Source organism: Homo sapiens, chromosome 17 (genome assembly GCF_000001405.40).
Source record: "Homo sapiens chromosome 17, GRCh38.p14 Primary Assembly".
NCBI lineage: Eukaryota > Metazoa > Chordata > Mammalia > Primates > Hominidae > Homo > Homo sapiens.
The window spans coordinates 64280664-64300443 of record NC_000017.11 but is presented as its reverse complement, the minus strand read 5'-3'; the positions used below and the strand labels follow the sequence as shown (position 1 = coordinate 64300443).

The 19780-nt window shown below is 47.1% G+C and overlaps 1 annotated feature.

Annotated features, from left to right (window-relative positions):
- Positions 10461–10755: a silencer, noted in NCBI's record as "tiled region #13166; HepG2 Repressive non-DNase unmatched - State 23:Low, and K562 Repressive DNase matched - State 9:DNaseU". NCBI's record gives its function as "represses a minimal TATA promoter and a strong SV40 promoter by Sharpr-MPRA in HepG2 and K562 cells {active_cell/tissue: HepG2 | K562}" and the evidence as "EXISTENCE:reporter gene assay evidence [ECO:0000049][PMID:27701403]".

Genomic DNA, 19780 nt, shown 5'->3' with positions numbered 1-19780 from the left:
GCAATTTTTCTTTCACATTTAATAGCAACTATTCCCGTATTCTTTCTTGTCAAAAGTGGCCATAATTGTGGGGGTTTGATGAGACAAGCACCCTCGGAGGCTCCGGTGGGAGAGGGAAGTGGCGCAGTCTTTCTGCAGAGTAATTGATGATTTGTCCCGGGAGCCTTGAAAACCTGCCTGCCCTTTGGCTCAGTAACTCCACTTCTAGGAATCTATTCTAAGGCAATAAATAGACCCAGAGACAAACAGTTACGTACAAAGATATTTATCACAACTTTGTTTGTAGTACAAAAATATTTGAATCACCAGACGCTTAATGATGGATGATGTTGTACTAAAAGTAAGTGCTAGGTACAGGGATGGATGAGTTTTAGAATCAGCTGGAATTTCATTAGACACACGTATGCACACATGTATACACACACACACACACACACACACACACACACACACACACACACACTGAGACAGCAGCTGGGTGGCCCAGGCACAGTGTGAGCATTTCTATTTTTAACAAGCTCACCCAGGTAATTCTTTTTTTCTTTTTCTTTTTTTTTTTTTTTTTGAGACAAGGTCTCATTCTGTCACCCAGGCTGGAGTGCAGGGGCATGATCTTAGCTGACTGCAACCTCTGCCTCCTGGGTTCAAGCGATTCTCATGCCTCAGCCTCCTGAGTAGCTGGGATTACAGGCATGCACCACCACACCCAGCTACTTTTTGTATTTTTTAGTACAGACTGGGTTTTGCCATGTTGCCCAGGCTGGTCTTGAACTCCTGGCTTCAAGTGATCCTCCTGGCTCGGCCTCCCAAAGTGCTGTGATTACAGGCATGTAACATGGCGCCTGGCCAGTTCTTATGTTAACACCAGGTGGAAAATCATTTGCCTGATCCCTCCAGAATTATGGATTTTTCTTCTTATTTTTTTAACATCCCACAATGGGCATGAATTACTTCTATTTTTTCTTTTTTAGAGACAGGGTCTCCCTCTGTCACCCAGGCTGGAGTGCAATGGCATAGCACTCCAGCCTGGGAGCTCATAGCTCACTGCAGCCTCAAACTCTTGGGCTCAAGTGATCCTCCTGTCTCAGCCTCCTGAGTAGCTGGGACTATAGACATGCACCACCACACCTGGCTAATTTAATTTTTTTTTAATGTAGAGACGAGGTCTCACTATGTTACCCAGGCTAATCTCAAATTCCTGGCCTCAAGCGATGGTCTGGCCTCAGACTCCCGAAGTGCTGGGATTATAGGCACAAGCCAATGCACCTGTCATGAATTATAGACAAATATATACATATATATATTAAGAAAATACTCTAAAATACAATAGGAAGTTGAGCTGGCAAATATCTGTTGCATATCAGGCCCCTGTGCTTGGTGTTGAAGATTCTGAAATAAAGAAGACAGTCTACCCTTTAAGAAGTTCACGGTCAGCCGGGCGTGGTGGCTCATGCCTGTAATCCCAGTACTTTGGGAGGCCGAGGTGGGCAGATCACCTGAGGTGAGGAGTTCGAGACCAGCCTGGCCAACATGGCGAAACCCCATCTCTATTAAAAATACAAGAAATTAGCTGGGCATGGTGGCGTGCGCCTGTAATCCCAGCTACTTGGGAGGCTGAGGCAGGGAGAATTGCTTGAACCCCGGTGTTGGAGGTTGCAGTGAGCTGAGAGCTGACATCGTGCCATTGCACTCCACCCTGGGCAACAGAGACTCTGTCTCAAAAAAAAAAAAAAAAAAAAAAAAAAAAAAAAGAAGTTCGTGGTCTGCAATAGAAGACGGCCACATAAAAATAAATATTATTCAAGCCGGGTGCGGTGGCTCACGCCTGTAATCCCAACACTTTGGGAGGCCAAGGCAGGTGGATCACGAGGTCAGGAGATTGAGACCATCCTAGCTAACACGGTGAAACCCTGTCTCTACTAAAAATAGAAAAAATTAGCTGGGCGTGGTGGCGGGCGCCTGTAGTCCCAGCTACTCAGGAGGCTGAGGCAGGAGAATGGCGTGAACCTGGGAGGCGGAGCTTGCAGTGAGCCGAGATGGTGCCACTGCACTCCAGCCTGGGCGACAGAGCAAGACTCTATCTCAAAAACAAAAAAAAAAAAACAAAAAAAACAAATAAATAAATAAATAAATATTATTCAATATACACAGAGAGACAAGCTGTACTAAAAGTAAGTGCTAGGTACATGGATGGTGCAATCATGGGGTAGGTGATTAGCTCTGGTTAGAAGGCTTGGGAAAATGCAGGCCGGGCACGGTGGCTCACATCTGTAATACCAGCACTTTGGGAGGCCAAGGCAGGAGGATCACTTGAGGCCAGGAGTTCAAGACCAGCCTGGCCAACATGGTGAAACCCCATCACTACTATAATTACAAAAAAAACAAAATTAGCCAGGTGTGGTGGAGTGAGCCTGTAGTCCCAGCTACTTGGGAGGCTGAAGAATGAGAATCACTTCAATCTGGGAGGCGGAGGTTGCAGTAAGCCGAGATTACGCCACTGCACTCAAGCCTGGGTGACAGAGCGAGATTCCATCTCAAAAAAAAAGGCTTGGGAAAATGCTTCTGAGCAGGGGACATTCCAGCTAGTACATTCCTGAAAGCACATAGAGGAGGGAGGGCGGAAACAGAATGCCAGGCAGAGGAAGACCCTCATGGAGGCATGAACACCCTCTCTGGCTGGAGGAATTGTGAGCAGTGAGCTATGGCCAGAACAGAAGTTTGACCCAGGGCACAAGAGGAGGTGAAACCAGAGAAGCTGCACAGGGGCCTGTGAACCAACTGGGCCAAGGGCCTGCAACTTGAGCCAGAAGCCCAGCGGTTCCTAGACTGTGTGCCGAGGAACACCAGTCCTTCAGACTGACAGATGCTCTGTGCAAAAGGCTTCCATGGCAAAGTGCCCTTGGAAAACTCTGGGTTAAAGGGTTTTGTTCTTTAATTGCAGACGCATCAAAGCCTTTACTATACTAATATGCCAGGAATTCTCCAAGAGGGGGCAACACAGGGAGCTAGTCCCAAATGGATTTAACCACAGGCCTCCCATGCCCACCACCACACACTTTGTTGTTTAAGGAAAATTTATGGCCAGGTACAGTGGCTAATGCCTGTAATCCCAGCACTTTGAGAGACTCAGGCAGGAGGATCACTTTAGCCCGAGAGTTTGAGACCAGCCTGGGCAACAAGCAAAATTCCATCTCTACAAAAAATAAAAATAAATTAGTCGGGTGTGGTGGTGCACTCCTGTAGTCACAGTGACTCGGGAGGCTGAGGTGGGAGGATTGTTTGAGTCCAGGAGGTTGAGGCTGCAGTGAGCTGTGATCGTGACATGACACTGGACTCCAGCCTGGGTGACAGAGACCCTGTCTCCAAAAAAAAGCAAAAGAAAATGTATTGTTAACATCTTATACGGTGATGTCCCCAGGGCACAGTTTCAGAAACTCAGCTGTTGGGCAATGGGAAGCCAGTGAAGGAAACCAGTAAAGTGAAAAGAACACAAACTTCGGAGTCCCATGGTCCTGAGTTCAAATGCATTTCACTGTTTACCAGCTCAGTCACCTTGACCAACCTTGGGCAAGTTGCCTCATCATTAAAGTGGGACCCACAGAAGCTACCCTGTAGGCTTTTGGAAATTAAATGAAAGAACCTAAGCAATATGGTAGACACTCAGTAGGTTCTGGGTACATAACTGGCAGTCACCATTACAATCTTTTCATCATCGTGATCAGAAAGAGCTCATGGGAGCTGTCTTGGGGGGTTGCTCTGCCCAGTCGGGCCTGGACACAGCGAGACTAGAGAACCGGCTATGAAACCACCCCAGGAGGGAGGCCGAGGGGAATATCCCACAGCTGTGAGAGGCATGAAATCCACAGGTCTGGGTGGCTGGATGGAGTCAAGAGTGAGATCAATATTGAGGACACCTGTGGGGCTAGGGCCAGTGGGTCAGGGAGTTGGAAGGGCTTTTAACCAGCACAGAAAGTCCAGGCTGAGCAGCATTTCAGGGACAGAAACAAATTGTTGCATGTAACCTTCTCTCTCTAACTCAGATATTTCTGGCATGACTTAAGACTAGCTCTAAAAGCTACTCCTTGATCTGTTTATTTTCTTTAGAATTGTCGACACAACGATTACTTCCAATGTTAAATCGCATTTCGTGTTGTTTTCTTTGTCAGACTCAAAGAGTTTTTATTATGTCCTTTCTCCAGACTATAATAACAAAAGAAGGAAGAATCAATTTTAGGTGGGAAAATTAGTCGCTCAGCACTCAGCATGAAAATTACCATGGATGCAGGAGTCTAGGTGCTGTCTTAGAAGAAATATTCTATAGTTCCTCAGCAGTGGGGCAGGGGTTGGGATAGTAGCGGTGCCCTTTTTTTTTTTTTTTTTTTTTTTTTTTTTTGAGACAGAGTCTCACTCTGTTGCCCAGGCTGGAATGCAGTGGTGCAATCTCGGCTCACTGCAAACTCCACCTCCTGGGTTCAAGTGATTCTCGTGCCTCAGTCTCCCGAGTAGCTGGGATTACAGGCACCCGCCATCGTGCCTGGCTAATCTTTATATTTTTAGTAGAGACGGGGTTTCAGCATGTTGGCCAGGCTGGTCTCAAACTCCTGACCTCAAGTGATTCTCCCGCCTCAGCCTCCCAAACTGCTGGGATTACAGGCGTGAGCTTCCGCACCTGGCCTAATTTTTGTATTTTTAGTAGAGACAAGGTTTCACCATGTTGGCCAGGCTGGTCTTGAACTCCTAACCTCAAGTGATCCACCCATCTCAGCCTCTCATGGTGCTGGGATTACAGGCGTGAGCCACCACACCGGGCCCATACTGTTACCTTTTGAATGGATGTGGTAGCACTTAGATGGTTTTCTACTGAGAGACAACAGCACACCCACTTTGTGAACACGTGTGTTCAGGAATCCTAGTCACAAAGAACAAATGGTCACAAATAACAAATGGTAGCAAGAGAACTGTGCCAGGCATTTTGCTCAAGGTAAACCTGATCCTCACAACATCCCTGGAAGATAGGCAAAGGCAGCACCATTTTGTAAGTGAGGCTTATGATGCTCTGAGAGGTTGACTCACTTGTCCAAGGTCATACAGCTAATTGTGGCAGATCTGAGACTCCAGCTCAGGTCTTGCTGATTCTAAGTGCCAACTCCACTAGCCTATTTCCATGCTTTCTCTGGAGAAGGACACAAGTCAACTGCTTAACACAGCACCTGGCACGCAGTAAAGGTTAGCCGCTCCTGTTATCATTATTGTTACTCCAAAAACTCAGAGCCGGGAGGCTGTCAGCAGGTAGAATCTAAGGGCCCCACATCCCCAAAGGTAATGATAGACCATGTTTGCGCAGCATTCCCTTTAAGCTTAACAGCATTTGCAGCAGGAGGGAAGCCTTCTCTTCTACCCCATGTGGGAGTTTCACAGCTGGGGAAACCAAAGGCCTAGGATCACCCAGTGAGGAAGGCAGAACGGGACTTGAACCCACATCTCCTGATTCCCACATCAACACATTGATTCCTTGGCTGGGCTGCCCGCCCATTCCCGTGAAGCCTGCTTTGTGTTAAGGCAGAGGTACAGAAAGCCTCTTTAACCCAGCTCTGACCAGGTGCAGTGGCTCACGTCTGTAATCTCTATACTTTGGGAGGCTGAGGTGGGTGGATCACTTGAGGTCAGGAGTTCAAGATCAGCCTGGCAAACATGGTGAAACCTCATCTCTACCAAAAAATACAAAAAAATTAGCCAGGCATGGTGGCATGCACCCATAGTCCCAACTACTTGGGAGGCTGAGGCACAAGAATCGCTTGAACCTGGGAATTGGAGGTTGCAGTGAGCCAAGATTGCGCCACTGTACACCAGCCTGGGGACAGAGTGAGACCCTGTCTAAAAAAAAAAAAAAAAAAAAAAAAAAAAAAAAAAAAACTAGCTCTGAAAGCAGGATGGGGGAAGGTAATTTGACTTTATTGATGATTGCAGATAATTACTCAACGACTGTATTAGCTTCCTAGCGCTACTGCAACAAATTAGCACAGAATACATGGCTTAAAGAAATACACATTTTTTTCTCTCAGTTCTAGAGACCAGCAGTCCAAAATCAGCATCAATGCGCTGAAGTCAAGGTGTAGTCAGGGACGTGCCCCTCCAGAGGCTCTAGTGGAGAGTGGATTCCTTACCTCTTCCAACTTCTGGTGGCTGCTGGCACCTTCACTCCAAGCATCAAGGTCAGCATCTTCAAACCATTCTCTGTTCTGTCTTCAGATAGCCCCTTCTGTGTGTCAAACCTCTCTCTGCTTCTCTCTTATAAGAACACCTGTGATTGCATTGCAAGCCTACCTGGATAATCTAGCATAATCTCCCCAATGCAAGATTCTTTTTTTTTTTGAGACGGAGTTTCGCTCTTGTTGCCCAGGCTGGAGTGCAATGACACGATCTCAGCTCACTGGAACCTCCACCTCCCAGGTTCAAGCGATTCTCCTGTCTCAGCCTCCTGAGTAGCTGGGATTACAGGCACGTGCCACCACACTCAGCTAATTTTTTGTATTTTTAGTAGAGATGGGGTTTCATATTGGTCAGGCTGGTCTCAAACTCCTGACCTCAGGTGATCCACCCGCCTCGGCCTCCCAAAGTGCCCAATGCAAGATTCTTAATCACATCTGCAAAGATTCCTTCCTTCCTTCCTTCCTTCCTCCTTCCTTCCTTCCTTCCTTCCTTCCTTCCTCCCTCCCTCCCTCCCTTCCTCCTTCCTTCCTTCCTTTCCTCCTCCTCGTTCTTCTTCTTCCTCTTTCTCTTCTCTCTTTCTCTCACATTCTCTTTTTCTTTATTCTTTCTTTTCTTTCTTGACAGGGACTTGCCATGTTGGCCTGGCTAATCTTTTATTTCTGTGGAAACAGGGTCTCACTATGTTGCCCAGGCTGGTATCAAACTCCTGGCCTTAAGCAATCCACCTGCCTCAGCCTCCCAAAGTACTGGGATTGCAGATGTGAGCCACTGCACCCAGCTCCTTTTTCCATATAAAGTAACAGTCAGCGAGTACGGTAGCTCATGCCTGTAATCCCAGCACTTTGGGAGGCCAAAGCAGGTAGATCACTTGAGCGCAGAAGTTCGAGACCAGCCTAGGCAACATGGCAAACCCCCGCCTCTACAAAAATACGAAAAGTTAGCCAGGGGTGATGGTGCATACCTGTAGTCCCAGCTACTTGGGAGACTGAGGTGAGAGGACCACATGGGCCTGGGAAGTGGAGGCTGAAGTGAGCTGAAATCGTACCACTGCACTCCAACCTGAATGACAGAGTGAAACCCTGTCTCAAAAAAAACAAAAGCCATTCCAGTTTCCAGGGATTAGAATGTGAATATCTTTCGGGGGAACCATATTTTAGCATACTGCAAGTGCTAAATAGATTCACTTATTACTAACTAACCTTCAAGGCCCTGGGGGAATGAAATCTGGATGGAGAATGCCAGTTAAATGGAGAGAAGAAGAGGAAGACAGATCTGGGGCCTGGGGTGAGCTCTCATCTACCAGGCTTAGGTAGCCCCTCTGGGTTTTGGGGGTGCTGAATGAGCACTTAGGGTACCCACTGGATGCTCTCGGGGAGAAACTGGCAAACTATAGACCATGGGTTGGCTGCCTGTTTTTATAAATAAAGTTTTACTGGAAGACAGTCATGCCCATTTGCTTATATATTGTCTATGATTGCTTTTGAGCAGAGTTAAATAGGCTGGGTTGAGAAGTTGCAATATAAACCATATGGCCCTGGCCGGGCGCGGTGGCTCACGCCTGTAATCCCAGCACTTTGGGAGGCCAAAGCAGGCAGATCACTTGAGGCTGGGAGTTCGAGACCACCCTGGAAAACATGGTGAAACCCTGTGGTGGTGAGCACCTGTAGTCTCAGCTACTTGAGAGGCTGAGGCAGGAGAATTGCTTGTACCTGGGAAGCGGAGGTTGCAGTGAGCCAAGATTGTGCCACTGCGCTCCAGCCCGGGGAAAAGAGTGAGACTCCATCTCAAAAAAAAAGAAAGAAACCATATGGCCCACAAGCCTAAAATACCCACTATCTCTTCCTTTAAGTAAAAGTTTGCCTATCTCTACACTACAGAAATATGGGAACAGAAAGAGAATGCTTGGCTTATTCCCCCCCCTCTCCCACCAGGGACTATTTCCAAGTTCATTTTTTTCCGTCTTTTTCCCTTCTTGTTTCATTTTGAATATTTTAAAGGTTATGTCTTCAAGTTTACTGGCATTTTCTTCTGTGATATCTAATCTGGAATTAGCCCATCCAGTGTATTTTCCCTCCACAGGCATTATATTTTTCATTTTTAGAAGTTCAGTTTGGATCTTTTAAAAAATATTTTCCATATCTAGATGAAACATGCTCAATCCTTCCTCTACCTTCTTGAATATAGGATATGTAATAGCTGCTATGATAACTGTTTTGTTTTTGTCTACTAATTCTATCATCTGTGTTTTGTTTTTGTAAGAGACAGGGTCTCACTCCATCACCCAGGCTGGAGTACAGTGGCACCAGCATAGCTCCCTGCAACCTCGAACTCCTTAGCTGAAGCGATCCTCTCACCTCAGCTTCCCAAGTAGCTGGAACTACAGGTGCATACCACAATGCCCAGCTAATTTTTAAATTTTTAGTAGAGACGATGTCTCGTCGTTGCCCAGGCTGGTCTCAAACTCCTGGCCTCAAGCCATCCTCCCATCTCAGCCTCCCAAAGTGTCGGGATTACAGGCATGGACCACTGTACACAGCCTCATCTGTGTACTTTTAAAGGTTATTTCTATCGATTGATTTTTCTCCCCATTATGAGTCATATTTTGTCTTCTTTGCATGCCTGATCATTTTTTATTGAATGTCAGACTGTGTCTGTACCAGCTATCAATCTATTCTCTCTCAGCTTCAAATCTACCCTTCCTTGCCTGCCGGTGATAACTGAGCTGGACCCTGTAAGAATTTCTCCTTTGCTATGAGCACAATACTAAACTTTGTCAGTAGAGGGCGCTGGAGATGCACTGTAGGTAAAAAGGTGCTTGCTTCTCTTTTCTTGTTTTCGTGCACTTCTACGGATTTCTTGCTCTTATTTCATGGTTGCCAGGGGAGCATGAGGGACATCCAGTGGTACTCACCCTCACCAAATTTTAGAATTATCCTCACTGACAGCTTCCCATCAAGTTTCAGCAGTCCCCGTGGGCAGATTCTCAGTGAGTCCCACAGGCCCCATGGTGGTTCACTTTCCAGCTTTAGTCCATCTGTACCCTGATGGGGAGATTTCTTGCTTGCCAATCTTAGCCATAGTTCTGTGCCCACCAACCTCTACCTGCTTGCACCCCAGACGGGAGTTTCTGTTTGTCCAGCAACTGTGGACCAGCTGTGGCCTGGGACAACCCAGTGAACTTCATTATCCAGTGGGCCGTAATTTCACTTTGCCCCACAAAGTCTGAATTCCAGCTGTGGGTCTTCTCCCTTAGCCATAGGATATTCTTTGTTTGTTTGTTTGTTTGTTTGTTTGTTTTTGAGATGGAGTCTTGCTCTGTTGCCCAGCTTGGAGTGCAGTGGCGCAGTCTTGGCTCACTGCAACCTCCGCCTCCCGAGTTCAAGTGATTCTCCTGCCTCAGCCTCCCAAGTAGCTAGGATTATAGGCATGCACCACCACGCTTGGCTAATTTTTGTATTTTTAGTAGAGACGGGGTTTCCCCATGTTGGCCAAGCTGATATTGAACACTTGGCCTCAAGTGATCCTCCCACCTAGACCTCCCAAAGTGCTGGGATTATAGGCGTGAGCCACCACACCCAGTCTATTTCTCTTCTCTCAAGGATTGTTGTCCTTGAGATCCATTGCGTGACATCCAATGTCTTGAAAACCATTGTTTTATATTTTGTCCAGCTTTTTTTTTTGTTTTTCCTTTTTTGGTTCACTGAAATCTTTTGTCCAGTTTTTTACTTGTTTCAGACTGGTCCCTGTTATTCCATCTTCACCAGAGGTGGAAGTCAACTCTAATTTTAAAATATTCATTTACTCAACATGTACACACAAAAAATTGTGGCACACCAGCCATGGGGATGCAGCAATGAACAAAACAAACAAAAATCTCTGCCCTCCTGGAGCTCGTATTCTTATGACAACTGATTAAGAAAATGTCTAATGCTGTGTGTGCTCACCACACATGTCCTGGCCTGGACCACCAGGCTGGGAATCCACAACAATACCCACTTCCCCCTCGTTGCTACTGATCTGTCCTCTTTCCTTCCTTCCTTCCCCCTCTCCACCATGCCCACCACTCTGGAGGTGCCCCCTCCTTCTCTTTTCCAAGGTAATTCATGGAATTATTCAAACTGCCTTGTCTGTGCAATGCCTCTGGAAAGCTACATGATAAATGTCTTCCAAGCCTGGAAAGTGTGATTTATATTTTTAATTATATCTTTCTGGCACCACAGGAGGAGTTTTCGTCTTCCCCATCTCCACAGCATCACACTTGGCTGTTTAGTGAATAGATTGAGATCAAACTTTGCTCCTTGCAAGGTCACAGATAAGCAGCCCTCATCAGCACCTTGCATCTGACAGCTACAAGCCAAGGTCTTATTTATAGGCCCTGTTACATACTCGCCCCACATCCCCAGCTCATCTTTTATTGTTCTATTTTAAATTGGGAAGACAGCCAACCCCACGTCCATCTCGTTCTGCCTTATCACCCTGCAGCACAGGCTGGATAATGGCCATATATATATATATATTTTAATAACAGCTTGATTGAGATATAATTCACATACCATAAAATTCATGCTTTTAAAGTGACGATTCAGAGGTTTTTGGTATATTCAGAGTCCTGCAACCAACACTACAATCAATTTTAGAACATTTTTGTCATCCCCCCCAAAAAACTCCTACTGGCTGGGTGCAGTAGCTCACACCTATAATCCTAGCACTTTGGGGGCAGAGGTGGGAGGATCACTTGAGCCCAGGAGTTCAAGACCAGCCGGGGCAACATGGCAAGAACCCATCTCTACTAAAATAAAAAATACAAAAATTAGCCAGGCGTAGCAGCTTGCACCTGCAGTCCCAGCTATTCGAGAGGCTAATGTGTGAGGATTGCTTGAGCCCAGGAGGTCAAGGCTACAGCGAGCCATGATCACGCCACTGCACTCCAGCCTGGGTGACAGAGCGAGACTCTGTCTTCCTCTAACTCTCATAGTCCTAGGAAACTACATATCAGTCTTCTGCCTCTGTGGATTTGCCTACACTGGACCTTCCATATAAATGTGATCATAATATGTGACCCTTCGTGACTGGCTTCTTCCACTTAGCGTAATGTTTTTGAGGTTCATCCCTGTTGTGGCATCCATCAGAACTTTGTTCCCTTTTATTGCCAGATAATATTTCGTTGTATGGATACACCACATTTTATCCATTCATCAGTTGGTGGACATTTGGGTTGTTTGACCTTTTTTGCTATCATGAATACTGCTGCTAAAAACATTCATGAATTAGCCAGTCGTGGTGGCGCACGCCTGTAGTCCCAGCTATTCGGGAGGCTGAGGCAGAAGAATCACTTGAACCCGGGAGGCAGAGGTTGCAGCGAGCCAAGATCGCGCCACTGCACTCCAGCCTGGGCAATAGAGCAAGACTCCATCTCAAAACAAACAAACAAACAAACAAAAAAATTCATGTACACATTTCTGTGTGGTGGGCATAAATATTCAGCCTCAATTTCCAACAGCACTTTGGCTGAGGGTGGGCTTGGGACACAGAAAAGGAAGGCGGCCACAAAACCCAGCCTGTCTTCTGACTATGACACTGATAGAACCCTCAAGGAAAAGGAAGACAGGAGAGCCGGCTTCCTCCTAGAAAATTCAGCCTAGACCAGGCACGCTGGCTCATGCCTGTAATCCCAACACTTTGGGAGGCTGAGGCGGGCAGATCACTTGAGGTCAGGAGTTCAAGACCAGCCTGGCCAACATGGCAAAACCTTGTCTCTACTAAAAAAAGAACATATAAAAATTAGCCAGGCGTGGTGGTGGATGCCTGTATTCCCAGCTACACAGGAGGCTGAGGCACAAGAATTACTTGAACCCTGGAGGTGGAAGTTGCAGGGAGCCAAGATTGCACCACTGCACTCCAGCCTGGGTGACAGAGCAAGACTCCGTTTCAAAAAAAATAGAAAAGAAAATTCAGCCTAATAAACAAGAGTTGAGGACTTGCTGTGTGCCTGGTTCTGAGACGGGAGCTGGGGGCTGCAGCCTCCCTCCCTCCTCCCTCTTCCTCCTTCCTTCTTTCCAGCATTCCTGTATTAGCATCTACTCTCTGTCAGACTCTCTGGGGGTACCCCCAAGGGTCTTAACCTAATTTTAAAAGGCAGGCAGTTGAATTCAGAATTCTAAGTGTCCCGGTGACTGATGTCGGGCCAGGACAGGAACTACGGTCACCCATGAGAGGGACACCCAACCCAGTTCTAGGGAATCAGGGAAGGCCTCTCGGAGGTTCTTCCTACATTATATTATATAAATTTCCAAACATACAGAAAGCCTTACATGCTCACCACCCAGGCTTAACAGTTATTAGCATCTTGCTAGATTTATTTCTAACTTCCTTCTGAAGGATTTTAAGGTAAACTTCAGACATTGCAGAGGTTCACCCCCAAATACCTCAGTGTTCCTTTTTTTTTTTTTTTTTTTGAGACAGAGTCTCACTCTGTCACCAGGCTGGAGTGCAGTGGCGCAATCTTGGCTCGCTGGAATGCAGTGGCGCAATCTTGGCTCACTGCAACCTCCGCCTCCCGAGTTCAAGGGATTCTCTGGCCTCAGCCTCCCAAGAAGCTAGGATTACAGGAGTGCACCACCACGCCCGATTAATTTTTACATTTTTAGTAGAGACAGGGTTTCACCATGTTGGCCAGGATGGTCTCAATCCCCTGATTTTTTGATCCGCCCGCCTTGGCCTCCCAAAGTGCTGGGATTATAGGCATGAGCCACCACGCCCGGCCTCCTTTTAAAAACAAAGATAGCTGGGCACGGTGGCTCACGCCTGTAATCCCAGCGCTTTGGGAGGCCGAGGCGGGTGGATCGCCTGAGGTCAGGAGTTTGAGGCAAGCCTGGCCAACATGGTGAAACCCCGTCTCCACTAAAAATACAAAAATTAGCCAGACGTGGTGGCACATGCCTATAATCCCAGCTACTTGGGAGGCTGAGGCAGGAGAATCGCTTGAACCCAGGAGGCGGAGGTTGCAGTGAGCCAAGATCATGCCATTGCACTCCAGCCTGGGGGATAAGAGCGAGACTTCGTCTCAAAAAAAAAGAACACACAAAGATAATTTCCTACATAGGGATACCTTTATCACACCAAACGTAGGTCATCATATTTCTTTGATAATCCAATGCCCAGTTCATATTCAAATTTCCCCAGTTATTTCAAGGACATTACGTATAGTTCTTTTGTTTGAAAAAGGATCTAATTACAGTGGAGGTGCCCTTTAATCTGCAACAAGAAGGCAGGGTGAGAAGGCTTTGTGGGCAAAGCAGCTCCTGGGCAAAGGCTCAGGGGGACAGTCTGGGCCTGGGGAAATTGACGAACTCAGCTTGAGGAAGATGGGCCCAGTTCGGAGGCCCTACTGGCCCTGCTGTGTTCCCACTGGAGGAGAGAGAGCGAGCCCTCCTAGGCACAGCTGTGACATGCCCAGAGAGTGGGGCTCTGATGAAAGGGCCTGCTGGTTCTTGCTATGATCCCCAGGGCCTGATTCAGGACACACCTCGGGCTGGAGGGCCTTCTTCGAACCTTCCTTCAGTCAAGGGAGCGGTCAGTCCAACAATCCACGGCTCTGGAAAGTTCCCCCTGAAGATTGGTTCTGTCCTGCTCACCCTGTGCTCCCTATGGGGACAGGCCCTGCCTTGGACTCCCAGGACAGTGTCTTTCTACTGTCTCTCAAGACAGGCAGGGCACTTGTATTAATCCACTTTCACACTGCTGAGAAACACATACCCCAGGCCGGTCACAGTGGCTCACGCCTGTTATGCCAGCATCTTGGGAGGTTGAGGCAGGCAGATCACCTGAGGTCAGGAGTTTGAGACCAGCCTGGCCAACATGGCGAAACCCTGTCTCTACTAAAAATGCAAAAATTAGCCAGGCGTGGTGGCAAGCGCCTGTAATCCCAGCTACTTGGGACGCCAAGGCAGGAGAATCGCTTGAACCAGGGAGGCAGGGGCGGCAGTGAGGCAAAATAGCACCACTGCACTCCAGCCCGGGCAACAGAGTGAGACTCTGTCTCAAAATAAATAAATAAAAATAAAAGACATACCTGACACACCCAAGACTAGGCGATTTACAAAAGAAAGAGATTTAATGGACTCACAGTTCCACGTGGCTGGGGAGGCCTCACAATCATGGCAGAAAGTGAAAGGCACGTCTCACGTGGCAGCAGACAAGGGAAGAGAGTTTGTGCAGGGAGACTGCCCTTTATAAAACCATCAGATCTCATGAGACTTATTCACTATCACATGAATAGCATGGGAAAGACCTGCCCCCATGATTCAATTACCTCCCACTGGGTCACTCCCAACACATGGGAATTGTGGGAGCTACAATTCAAGATGAGATTTGAGTGGGGACACAGCCAAACCATATCAGGACCCTTCCTCCAGCCCTGTTAGGACATGTGGCAGATCCTGACTATAACAGCCCAAGACAGTGCTGTCTCTCCCTCAGGGCCCCATCATCCAGCCCTCTCAACTCCAGGATGGGCTGCCATGGTCCTCTGGGTGCCTTTGCCTGGTTCTAGTCACTGTGTTGAATGTCAGAGAAGGAAATAGCTGCAGTCTCTGTTTAGAGCCCTGTCCTTTGAGAACAGCAGGTACTCTTGATGTGGGCTGTAGATGACCTTTTGAAAATCAGACCCTGCTTCCCAGGAGCCTTTCATCATGTTTCTGAGATGTTGCTCTTCTCTCTTTGATGGAACTTCAGACAGAAGCCAATCTGCAGCCTAAGCCTGCCCGGGCCTTGAGTCCACTTAACAACCTAGGAGCCCTGTTGGATGTGCCAGAGGAGTATTGATAATCAGGGAGCAGAGATAGAGGAGTTAGGCAGGGGCAGCTTGGCCCTCTACGACCTCCTGGCACAGCACCATGAAGCCTAGGTGTCTGGCCCCTGACAATTTGCTCCATGCAGCAAGGGGCAGGGTTGGGAGGGGTCTTTCTTATTCATCAGCCAGTCAATAAAGCATCTTTCCAGGTGGGGCTTTAGTTCAGGCCTTACCTTTCCAGGAACTTCTGTTTGTTTGTTTTGAGATGGAGTTTCGCTCTTGTTGCCCAGGCTTGAGTGCAATGGCACAATCTCGGCTCACTGCAACCTCCGCCTCACGAGTCCAAGCGATTCTCCTGCTTCAGCCTCCCAAGTAGCTGGAACTATAAACACGCACCACCACGCCTGGCTAACTTTTTGTATTTTTAGTAGAGACGGGGTTTCACGATGTTGGCCAGGGTGGTTGAACTCCTGATCGCAGGTGATTCTCCCGCCTCGGCCTCCCAAAGTGCTGGGATTACTGGCATGAGCCACTGCCCTCAGCCTCTGGAAACTTCTTTATCAGCTTACTTCATTAATCAAGCTGTCGGGAGTTGGGTGAATAATTCAGGAGGCCAATTTCATTCAGTCATTCATTTATTCACTCATTCAACATACATTTTTGAGCACACGCTGTTTTCCAGGCACAATTCTAGGGGCTGGGCATATAGTGGTGAAAAAGACAAAGTTCCCACCCTCACAGGGCTGTAGTCTGGCAAATTCGCCTGCATTTAATTGGTTTCAGCAAGAAACAGAATGGCCAGACCACTGAAGGCTCAAGTCAGCTGACCCACCACAGACAGGATCAGCAGGAATGGTGTGGCCAGTAGACCTAATGACCAACGGATATAATTTTAATATATATCCTGGCCAAATCTCATGTTGAACTGTAAACCCTGGTGTTGGAGGCGAGGCCTGGTGGGAGATGTCTGGGTCATGGGAGCGGATCCCTCATGGCTTGGTGCTGTCCTCGTGATAGTAAATGAGTTCTCAGGAGATCTGGTTGTTTAAGTATGTGGCACCCCTCACAACCACCACTCTCTCTCTTGCTCCTGCTCTGGCCACGTGACATGTCTGCTCCCGCTTCATCTTCAGCCAGGAATAAAAGCACCCTGAGGCCTCCCCAGAAGCCAAGCAGGTGCTGGCACCATGGTTGCACAGCCTGCAAAACCATGACCCAATTAAACCTCTTTTGTAAATTACTCAGTCTCAGGTATTTCTTTATAGCAATGCAAGAATGGCCTAATACACCAGCTTTGGTCTCTGGACTACTAGAAGCATCTGAGTACCACAGCGGTGCCCACTTTGGAAAACCCTATTCTATGTCATCACGTACTGGTCATACAAATTGAGACACTGCCCTAGTCATTACAACCAGCCTTGGCTGTCCCTAAATCCCCCTCAGGCACCCACTACTCATCCTTCCCTAGAGAGATCACTTCTATAAATGACACACATCATCCATGACATGGGGATTCCACCTGAATTTACTTAGGGGAATGGTTCAAACCGTATATTTTAACTACACCCGGAGATTCTTCTTCAAGATTCCTTTAAGCGTTTGTCTTAGTCTGTTCCTGCTGCTATAACAAAATACCTTAGTCTGGGTGATTTATAAATAGTAGAAATTTATTTCTCACAGTTCTGGAGGCTGGAAAGTCCAAGATCAAGGGATTGGCAGATCCAGTATCTGGTGAGGGCTCCATCTCTGCTTTCAAGATGGTGCCTTGTTGCTGCGTCCTCCAGAAGAGACAAATGCTGTCTCCTCACATGGTGGAAAGGGAGAAAGGGATGAAAAGGACAAATAGGCTCCCTTCAGCCCTTTTATAAGAACCCTAATCCCATTCATGAGGGCAAGGCCCTCTGACCTAGTCATCTCCTAAAAGCCCCACCTCATGCATTGGGAACGAAATTTCAACACACATTTCGAAGAGACACACACATTCAAACCACAGTAGGGTTGTTCCTTTTAAACATTATTTAAAGGCACCCATATGTATGTAATAATAATAAGGGGGGCTGGGCACGGTGGCTCACGCCTGTAATCCCGGCACTTTGGGATGCCGAGGCGAACAGATCACTTGAGGTCAGGAGTTCGAGACCAGCCTGGCTAACATGGTGAAACCCCATCTCTACTAAAAATACAAAAACCAGCTGGGTGTGGTGGCACGTGTGCCTGTAGTCCCAGCTACCTGGGAGGCTGAGGCAGGAGAATCGCTTGAAACCAGGAGGCAGAGGTTGCTGTGAGCAGAGATCACACCACTGCACTCCAGCCTGGGCAACAGAGTGAGACTCTGTCTCAAAAATAATAATAAGGGCTTGGGGCTTTACCTATATTAAATAATTATGATTAAATGTAAATATAAGTGTAATTAAATTATTACACTAAATAGTCTTCACAACAAGCTTGAGAGCTGGGTATGAAGATTATCATGTTCTTTTCACAGATGAAGAAGCTGTGGCTCAGCAGGTTTGGGGGCAGAGCCAGGAGGAAATCCGCCATCTGCCTCCAGAGCCCTGCTTCGATGACATGTGTCACTCTTGAAACAATGCCACACTCTGGAGGAAGTTTTCCAGATTCCTCCGGAAGAGGACAGAGACTGGCAATTCCGGAAAGGTCATCTAGGGAGTGCCAGGTCCCCAAACCCACTGAGCCTTTGTCAATTACAGATCCCCAGGGCCCCCCACCCCCGACCGCCTGCGTCAGGATTTCTGGGCAGACACAACAAAATTATGTCAAAGCGCCCCAAACACTTCAGAGCCAAGTGGCCCCGCAGCTGGTTTAGGGGCCTTCCAGAACAGTTGGCCCCGGGGGGATTCGATGTGGGTGGAGGACGCAGGTATGGGTTCCTCTCGGACCACCCTCTCTCAGGTGGGCTTCCAGCGGGCAGGGGCCAGCTTTTCTCTGCACTAGTGGGTGGGCTTGCTCCTCTCTGTACATTGGACACAGTGGAGACAAATTTCCGGAAAGGCTCAGGCTGAACACAGGATAGCCCTAAGGGTGGGCTAGATTCATGGAGAATGTATCGCGGACTAGTCAGTCATATAAAATACTTGAGCCATATTTTTGTTCACCTGAGGTCAATTCCATGAGGCCCCTGGGATACCCACTGGGCCCATAGAAGCCCCAAGATAAAAGTCCCAGCGTAACATTTTTGCTACTTATGGAGCTATACCATTGCTTGTTTAATTCTTCCTTGAAATTTTTTTTTTTTTGTCTAAGAGTAGTTGCTTAGTTTGACCACGAGGTAGCGCTAACGGGCTTGGTAGCCAATGGACGGGGGCGTGGTAAGCCTTGTGGACTTAAGAGGAAAATCTCAACATTGCCCCTTTATTAATTAATCAAACCTTGGATTTTTTCCCCCCATTCTGCACTTTCCAAATTTTCTGTATTGAGTTTGCATTGTTTTTACAGAAGCAGAATAAGGGCAGGGGTGGGGGACGATAGAGAATCACTACGCAATGATAATCTGTTATTTTGACATATTAACTTTAGACACTGTCTTTATGTGGCTGTAGTTATAGGATATGTGTATTTGTTTTATTGGAGTGCAGTGGCATGATCACAGCTCACTGCAGCCTCGACCTCCTGTGCTCAAGTGATCCTCCCATCTCAGCTTCCCAAGCAGCTGGGACTACCGGTGTGTGCCACCATGCCCAGGTAATTTTTTTGTTTTTAATTTTTTGTTTGTTTGTTTTGAGATGGTCTCGCTCTGTCACCCAAGCTGGAATGCAGTGATGCGATCTTGGCTCACTGCAACCTCTGCCTCTCAGGTTCAAGGGATTCTCATACCTCAGCCTCCCAAGTAGCTGGGACTACAGCTGCATGCCACCATGCCCAGTTAATTTTTGCATTTTTAGTATAGACAGGGTTTCGCCATGTTGGCCAAGCTGGTCTCGAACTCCTGACCTCAAGTGATCCACCTATCTCGGCCTCCCAAAGTGCTGGGATTACAGGTGTGAGCCACCCCACGCAGCCTGTTTTTATTTTTTTGTAGGGGTCTCTCTATGTTGCCCAGGCTGGTCTCCAACTCTTGGGCTCAAGCGATCCTCCAGCCTCAGCCTCCCAAAGTGCTAGGATTATAGGTGTGAGCCATCAGGCCTGGCCTGTTTTATCATTTTTAAACTTGACTTTATAATTTTTTATGTTACTACAAGTTCTTCATGAACATTTATTACTGCACATTTTACAGTGACCATATATTGAGGGTTCACTTGGAACCATGCAAACACTTTGCTGTGTTAGGTGCATTTTTGTGTAGCCCTCACAATGGGAGGGCCTAACCCATGAGGTGGGTATTATTATCACCCATATTTTATCTGTGAGTAAAATGATGCTTCAAGAAGGCAGGTCACTTAATAGTAAATAAATGGAGGAGTGAGTCTGTCTAACATCCTGCCTTTCTCTAACCACAATGCTATTTCATTGAGTATGACCACGACTTAATTTACCTAGTGTGCCCATTTAATTTGGCCACATTTCATTATCAATAGCACTGCAGAAAATATCTCTATGTAGAAAGTTTATTCTGCATTCAGGAAATATTTATAGAAGTGGACTTGATAGCCTAAACATTTTGAAGACTCTTGATAAATATTCAGTGCCAAATATGAAGAAAAAAAATCAGGAAAACTTAACTCTGGCTGGCTATTTTATGATATTAAGAATTATTGTTACTTTTTCTAGGCATGCTAATGCTGTTGCGGTCGTATATTTTTAAAGATACACAATGAAGTACTT